The 8,879-nt window shown below is 48.4% G+C and overlaps 1 annotated feature.

Moving 5' to 3' along the window:
- Window positions 1,987-2,281: a silencer, noted in NCBI's record as "tiled region #8672; K562 Repressive non-DNase unmatched - State 21:Repr". NCBI's record gives its function as "represses a minimal TATA promoter and a strong SV40 promoter by Sharpr-MPRA in K562 cells {active_cell/tissue: K562}" and the evidence as "EXISTENCE:reporter gene assay evidence [ECO:0000049][PMID:27701403]".

An 8,879-nucleotide genomic window follows, 5' to 3' on the forward strand; every position in this document is an offset into this window, starting at 1 on the left:
GGGGGAGGTGGGGAAGATGAAGAGTTTAGTCCTGAACTTGTAAAATTTACAAGTTCGAACTTATGTTCATCTTCAAAACAGCTGCCAGAGTGTTATTTCTCTGAAAGAAAAACAAAGGAAGGAACAAACAAATCTCTAGTTGGCTAAGTCATGAAGTTCTAACTCTTCAGCTTGGGTGGATGAGTCTTTAATGAAACCTGCCCAGACGCATCTTCCCAGCTCTTCGCTCTCTGCCCATCCGTGTCCCCCTGTGCTCCCAGCCATCACTGAGCATCTCTTGTAGACCATTCATCCATTCATTCCCTCCCTCCCTCAGCATTTGTTTAGCATCTACTCTGCCAGACACGGAATTAGGCATCAGGGCTACAACCCTCTTGGAGCTCACATTTCCCATCACCCTGTCCCCAACCCTAGTGCCTTTGCACAAATTGTGTCATTTGCTTTGAATACCAGCCAGCTCTTTCTCCTCTCCCTGTTTACCCTCTGAGGCTCAACTGTTACCCTGTCCTCTGGGGGATATTTTTGATGCCTCAGACACAAGGAGGTCAATATTTCCAGCACCCTCTGCTCCTATCATCTGTGGGGGCTTCTCAAAGGCAGAGACTTGTCTTTATTCAGCCCTCTATCCCCCAATATTTGCTTGATTGCTTGAATGAATGAGTGTTAGTAAGGATTCAGCAGCTTGGATCTTGGTCTGAGCCACACTTGGCTAACGATGTCCTTTTGGTCATGGCCTCAGCAGGGATGAGCTGGCCACGATTCTAACCTTTCTAGAAAACAAATACTGGCAAATACTGGCAATATCCTTTTGAGAACTAGGTGGACCCTTAGAGCCTTATGGTGGGTTCTCCAGGGTAGAGAGGAGGAGGGAGGCTCCTGATCCCAGTTAGTCTAAGCCACCAGGACCAGACATCCACTATGGCCTCTGAGAGCCAGGGTAACCATGGAAACCAGGCACTGGGGGTGGGAGGAGCAACGAGTGGAATGAAGCCAGGCCCACAGAGAGGCCAGCAGGCCAGGCTGGGCTTTGGGACCACTCCATGTGTATATGTATCGGGTGGGGGATGGGAGAGGTGGGGAGTGAGTGTCCCAGAGGCCAGGAGAGCACCAGCTGCAGGAAAGGGGGATCTGTAAGGCATAGACTCAGAGCTCGGAGCTCACGAAGTGTCCTTGTGTTTCCCACAGCACAGGGGCCCTGGGCTCCAGCCCCCTTCTCTGAGAATCAGGAAAGAAAAACAAGTGAGAGGTATAGAGAAAGGGGCTGATAGTGATAAAAGACAGCAGAGGCCCAGGAGCTGAGCAGGGAGGGCAGGGGAGGGAGAGGGAGAGAGAACGAGAGAGAGAGAGAGGCTGTTTGATGGAGAAACCACAGAGATGGGGAGGGAGAGAGAGAGAACGTGATACCTACATAGAAAAAGAGAACTGGCAGAAGACAGAAGGAAAAACAGCAACACAGAGACTGAGAGACACACAAGGATGAGTGGAGAGACAGAGGGAAAGGGAAGAGCTCACAGGGGAGGATGAAGTAGAAATGGGGCAGAGGTGGAGGGAGAAACAGCAACAAAGAGCAAGGGGAGGGGTCGGAGAAAAACGGGGCATAGAAACAGAATCAACAAGTGGGGACACAGAGAGGGCGTCAGCCAGAGAGAGGCCAGAGTGAGTGTGAGCAAACGTGAGAGGAAGAAAACAAGTCAGAAACAGACAATCAGGAGAAGAAGAGGGAGGCAATTGAGGCCGAAAGATGATCAGATTGGCAGACGGCACGGGCTGAGCTACAGAGACCGGCTCCCAGCCCTACTCCAGGCAAGCCTTGGGCCCTCTGCCATGTAAAAGACCCAGAGAAAATCCCAGTCTGCCCTAGAAAGTCACCAGAACTCGGCCCCTTGTCTCCCCAGGAGAGTAGCCAGGTGGGGTGTCCTGTCCCAAGCCGAGGCCCAGATGCGGTGGCCCTGGCTATTCGGTGGGGACCCTGAGGAGTAGTGGCTGCAGCAGCAGTGGCAGGTTGGCTGCTGGAAGTGTTTATCAGTGGTGGCTGCCCTCCCAGGGCCCTCCATATGGTCTCGCATATGCTTAGCAACTTGCCTCTGAACTATAAGCTGTATTTACACCCGGGCAGGTGACGGCCTATTGTTGGGAAAGGAAGCTGGCAATGTTTTCCATTTCAAGGTGGTGTTGCCATCTAGGCAGGCTGGGATTCCCAGGCAACCTGCAGCTCCTGCTTAGTGAAAAAATAAGAGCTACTGCTTTGCCGCCAAGAGATAAATTCCTCCCAAAAGGTGATGCCAGGAAGTAGAATTTCTCTCTCAAAGAACTTAACATTTTTTTTTTCCTGAAGACAAATGAGAGCTATAGATCCCATTATCTCCTTTTTTCCCTTGGCTGCCAGGAAGCTCAGACAAAAATGCAGTGGGGGTCTGTAGAGGAATGGGGGTCAGAGCTTCCACTCAATGTTTCAAAGTTTCATGTCTAGATTGCTGGGTAAACCAATAAGAACCATTTAAAAAAATTTATTCATTCATTCATTTCATTGACAGACAACCACAGAAAGTCTGCTGGGAGTCAGGATTTAACCCAGGCACCTTTCTTATCTGCTAGGAGTGATCTCCAAACACAGATCCCAGAACACAGGACTCTCCCTAGCCCATAGTAAACATTTTTAAAATGTTTCCTCTTTGAATGAACAAATGAATTCACGACCCTGCTTGAAACCCCACTCTCCAGAACTCCTTATAAAGGCCAAACTCTTCAGTTTGGCATTTTGTGAGCTTCCCTATCTACTTATCTGGCTTTGCCGCTTACCCCTCTCTCATGTGCATTCCATGATTTAATCATATGGACACCTCATAATTCCCAGAAACCCTCATACTGCTTCCTACCCTCCCCATTTCTTCAGCTGGTGAACTCCTATACATCCTTCAAGACCCCAGTGAAATATCACTTCTCATGACAAGCCTTTTTCAGCCTCCCTAGTTGTATTTAATATTAATGTCTCCACTTTGCTTCCTAAGCATGCTTGGGCCTTGCCTTTGTTATTGTCCCCAAGTCATGTGGCACAGCATGGCTTCTTACATGTCTGTCTCCTCTACAAGTCTGTGAGCTCCCTGAGGGCAGTATGGGCTCTGGGGCTAGGCCCCCTGAATCTAAGTCCCAGTTCTGTCACTTACCAACACAGACTTTGGGAAAGTTATTTAATTGCTCTATGCCTCAGTTTTTCCATCTGCAAGTAGGGCTGATAATAATATCTACAATTTAGGGTAGTTACAGGGATTAAATGAGTCAATACCTACAAGGCACCTAGAACAGTGCCTGGTAGTTTAGAGTGCTGAATAAATGTGAACTCTTGTGTTAATAGCTGTGCTACTGATCAATCTGATGGGTCCCCAGTGCCTAGCACTATTTCTGGCACATGGGAGGTCCCAGCCATGGCCTGTTGTATGGAAACAAAAACTATTAAAGCATGACCTCTGCTCACAAAGAGTCCTAGCCCAAGGGATTCATTCCCTGTCTATTCAGTGTCCACTGTACCAGGCTTCATTCTAGGTGCAGCAGTAAACAAAACAATAAAGAACTATATGCTGCAGAATCTTAGAAGATCCTAAGTGCTATGAAAAATAGGACCGAATAAGTAGTATTAGGATTGCAATTTTAAATGGGGCAGCCAGGGTAATCCTGGCTCCAAAGGTGACATTTACAGGAAGCCCTGAGTGAGGTAGGCTGTGAGTCACGTACCTATCTGGGGGAAGAACGTTCCAGGCAGAGGGAGCAGCAGGTGCAAAGGCCCTGGGGTGGGAACGTGTCTGGCATGTTGGTGTTATAGGAATGGCCAGGGGCTCATCTGGCTGGAGCAGAATAAGCAGATGGGAGAAGGAAAGGAGGGGACCTGAGGCAGGGGGTCGGGGAGGTAGGGGAAGACGGATTATGTTGAGCCTTGTAGGTCATTGTCAAGACTTCAGCTTTTACTCTGAGAAGCAACAGGGACAAATGCAAGGCTGTCCTCTCGATCAATATTTCACTCTGCTTCTCAGAGGTATGTGTGGGGTGGAGGTGCTCTGTGTGGAATGCCCAGTAGAAGTGAACTCCCCTGTGGATGACACAGAAAAAAGGCCTGGATGGAGGTCTCTGGCAAGCCACAGGATGGCTAGGTGTGGTGAGGCAGGGGTCTGCCTGAGCTGTGTCTTCTTTAGCCATCCAAACGTAAACCCAGGTGCTCCCTGGGCCCTGGGCCCACCAGCACTGGCTTGTTTGTCCTTTGACTTCTGAGTCCAAAGTGAAAGCTGAGGTTCCTTCCCAGACTTTGGGGTGGCTGAGTGTTCTGTGGTTCCCTGGAAAACTGGCTTCTTTCCCACCTTGGAGGGAGGTGTTTTAGGTCCTTGTTTCTTAGGCCTGTGGTAGGGCAAGCTGCTTAAGGATAAGGAGAAAGTGGAAGCTCCACGGAGGAGACACAGCATAGGGTAGGTGGTCTTGGATCTCTGCATCCTTGAAGAACACTACTGGGCTGGTCAGGTCTCCAGGAACCCACAAGAAAACAGAGAAAAAGAGAGGGAAAGAAGGGAAGATGGGTAGGGTAGCTATATAATTTGTCATCCAAACCAAGACACTTTGAGAATGAGAAGGCACTGCTACTAATTACAACAGCACAATCCAGGCATAAGCAGGAGCCTATGGAGGGGTGGGGAGACAGGCAGAGGGTCAAAGACAGGGACAAGAGAAATATTGAAATAGACATGGAGGGTGTATTAGTCCATCCTCACACTGCTAATAAAGACATACCCGAGACTGGGTAGTTTATAAACAAAAGAGATTTAATTGACTCGCAGTTCAGCATGGCTGAGGAAGCCTTAGGAAACTTACAATCATGACGGAAGGGGAAGCAAACACATCCTTCTTCACATGGCAGCAGGAGAGAGAAGTACATAGCGAAGGGGAGTAAAGCCCCATATAAAACCATCAGATCTCATGAGAACCCACTCACTGTCATAAGAACAGCATGGGAGAGCTGCCTCCATGATCTAATCACCTCCCATGAGGTCCTGCCCACAACATGTGGGAATCACAATTCAGATTATAATTCAAGATGAGATTTTGGGTGGGGACATAGCCAAACCATATCAGAAGGTCGGCACTGGAAGGAACTCGCAGGTCATCCCACCTAAGCTGGACAACTCAAAAGCGCAGAGACTTGTCCAGGCCACCAGCACATCACCAGCAAAGCTGGTACTGGATACTTGATCACTGACATCCAGTGTGGTGGTCCCTCCCCTCACAGCCTCCTGGTCTTGGGTGTACTCAAGGCCCTCTTAGAGCTCAACTGTTCCCTTGAATTGTTATTAGTTTGTTTTGGCGGGGAGAGGGGGGTCAGTGGTTCCAGCCTATAAAAATGGGGTATGGATTGTTCAGTGGGCTTTTATCTCTAATAAAGTGCCGTTTGTCTCCTTGGCTTGGCCTCTTAGGAAGGATGAGAAGCCACCCACTATTCCCACAGGCCATCCACAGGGGTCTTTATCTGCTTGCAACGTGAGGAATGGCTGGGGCCACTTCTGTGACCCAAACCCAAGCCCAGGTGCCCTGGAACCTTGGATGACAAGCACTGGCTTCCTTGCCCTTTGGCTTCTGAGTCCAAGAGTGAAAGCTGAGATTCCTTTGGGAATTACTGGCCTCCTTCTAGTAAATCCCAAAGCAGAGAGTCTTCTTTATGATCTGTGAGCTCTGCAAACCAGGGACAACATCTGTGGTATTCGCCACTATATGCCCAGTGTTTACCTAGGATAGTTGTAGGCACATGGGCAGTACTCTAAAATATTGAATGTCTAAATGAAACCTCAGATTTGAGGGCTTATGCCCCAGAATGTGGCCTGGTGTGGTGCTCAGTGGCACAGATAAAACATAAGATTTTTTTTTTTTTTTTGGTGGACAGGATATGCTACTTGATTTTTTTCCCTTTAGGGGATTTATCCTCCTCATTCTGTTTTGCTAAAGCTAATATTTATTGATTATTTGATTCAGTCTTTAATTCACCAGCTGTTTATTGAACCCCTACCAGGTGCCAAGCACTGTGAATTAAACTCTGGATAAGGCCTCTCCAAGGTGGCTGGTTCGCCACACTCAGATGTGAGCGGCAGCGATCTGCTATGTTGCAATGGTCTGAATAGACCCAAGGTCTTGCAGCAAAGGTCAATCTCTTAAAAATCAGAGCCACTAAGCAAACATTCTCGGGGCGCTTTATGGAGTTAAGCTGTTTATGCTGGGGAAGCATTTCTAAAAACTGCACCTGGGGACTTTTATCCACTTTGTAATTGTCCCTGGCTCCTCTATAACGGGATAAATCAAGCATAAGTCTGTCTCTAGGTTTATTGGAGGTTTACATATTTGGAATAAAAAGCAAAGAATCAGGCAGATAGTAGCAGAGACAGAGAAAAACCTGGGAAGAAGAAAAATTAGAAGGAGAGAAGTGGATATCTGGACAAATGGGGCTCAGCCCTGGTTCTGCAATAAATTCCTGGACGAACTTGGCCAAGCCATTTACCCACTCTGATCTGCGAGCCTCCTCATCTGCAAAGTTGGTTGGGTAAAATCACTTTTGAGAAATGGTAAAGTGTTCTCTTCATCCTTTCTGGGAGTCTTTATTCCCTGTCTTCCTGAAGAGGCTCTCGCCAATCCCTTTGTCAGAATGCTAGACAGAGATCAGCAGGCATCACTGTGAAAAACAGAGAAAGTCAAAGAAAAGCTGGTTGTTGTCCAATGCTCGTTAACTCAAGAACAAGAGACTCTCCATATTTTTTTGGTGAAAGGTCTTCAGGGTCAGTTCACATATTGGCACATGAACTCGCTGTTCCCATTAAATGAGTCAGGCAAGATGTGAACATTAATTTGAGTAAGTGAATCAGCCTCACTCTGAAAAAGAAAAAAATATCATTAAGTAGAATGGATGCATGCATATGTAACATGTATATATAACATATACGGCCGAGCACAGTGGCTCACACCTGTAATCCCAGCACTTTGGGAGGCCAAGGCAGGTGGATCGGGAGGTCAGGAGTTCAAGACCAGCCTGGCCAACATGGTGAAACCTTGTCTCTACTAAAAATACAAAAATTAGCCAGGTGTGTGGCGGGCGCCTGTAATCCCAGCTACTCGGGAGGCTGAGGCAGGAGGATCACTTAAACCCGGGAGGTGGAGGTTGCAGTGAGCCGAGATTGTGCCATTGCACTCCAGCTCTGGGCGACAGAGCAAGACTCCATCTCAGAAAAAAAACAAAACAAAACAAAACATATACACAGATACGCAAGCACAGACATCATAGGCATGTGCCATCACACACACACAAACACACACACATGCTCAAGCAGGGGGTGGGCCATCACCAGGGTTCCTTCCATCTCTGGGGCTCTGTGGGCCGGATGGGAATTAGAATCCCAGGGCACGGAAGAGGGCTTGATCTTCTTCCTGCCTAAGTTGTTTCCATTTAACAGATGGAGAAGCTGTCCTAACAGGATAAAGCTATTAGAGGCAGCAAGATAAAGTGGCTAAGAGTCCAGGTCCTAAAGCCAGATTGCCTGAGCCTGGACCCCAGCTCTGCCACTTAGCCAGGTAATATTTGTCTAATTACTTTGCCTTTCCGTGCCTCAGTCTCCCCACCTATGAAATGGATAACGACAGTACTTAATATTTAAGAAATTACTTAGAAGAGCACCCAGTCCATACTAAGTGCTCTGTAATATTAATGGAGCCAACCATTTCTGAGGGGCTGGAGAAGCCTCTGGAGTCCTCCTTCATGCCTCTGCTCCAGGGACCGTGGGTGCAGCACATGCTTGTCAATGTGAACCTGGCATGGGGTCGTTTCTTTTGAGACTTGTCACCTTCACACATATGTTTGGAATATGGAAGCTAAGTAGGGTGGTGAAGGGAGAGGGTGTAAGAGTTTGCTAGGGCTGCCATGTCAAAGTGCCACAAACTGGATGGTATGGGAGAAGAGAAAGTGATCACCTCTCTGTTCTGGAGGCAAGAAGTCTGGAATCGAGGTGTCAGCAGGGCCATGCTCCCTCTGAGACTCTGGGAAAAGCCCTTCCTTGCCTCTTGCTGGCTTCTGGGGGTGGCCAGCAGTCCTTGGCAGTCCTTGGCTTGCAGCCGCATCCTTCAACCTCCGTCTTCTCATGACATCCTCCACTGTGTCTTCAGTATGTTGGCCTCTGTGCCCAAATTTCCCCTTCTGATAAGGACATGGTCATGTTGGATTAGTGCCTCATCTTAACTTGATCATCTGCAGAGATCATTTTTCCAAATAGTCCCATTTGGGGGACTGGGGGTTAGGACTTCAACATCTTTTGAGGGGACACAAATCAACTCATAACAGAAGGAGAGGGAAGGAGGGGGAAGGAGGAAGGGAAAGTTGGAGAGAGCAGGGAGCAGGTGCCAGCCTGTGCTGCCTAGGTAACAGGAGCAGGAGAGAGGTCCTTCCCACTCTGGCAGGCTGTCCTGACATGCCTGTCACTGTGACAGCTGGGTGTAGATCTGTCCTTGAGCCTGGAGATGGCCCGGTAGGAATCCAGTTTCCTCAGTTCTGCTGTCTGCTGCCCACTGGCACCCCAGAAAATGAAGCAGACATCAAAATCAATGACCAGGAGGTGAACTGGCCTTATCACCACTCCCAGCACATGCCCCAGTGGCCCGAGCACCTTGTGTAACTGCTGGGGGTCAGTTGGCTCCAAAGCAGGCAGCTCTTACTGGCTAAAGAACACTTGTAGGCCAGCCACCTGCCCTTTGTCTCAAAAGTCATGGCCACTGCACTTCTTAGTGACTCACTCTACCTCCCTGAACCTCACTTTACTCATCTGTAAAATGGGGTAATGCTAATGACTACAGGGTTTTTGGAAAGAACAGAA

Source organism: Homo sapiens, chromosome 11, assembly GCF_000001405.40.
Source record: "Homo sapiens chromosome 11, GRCh38.p14 Primary Assembly".
NCBI lineage: Eukaryota > Metazoa > Chordata > Mammalia > Primates > Hominidae > Homo > Homo sapiens.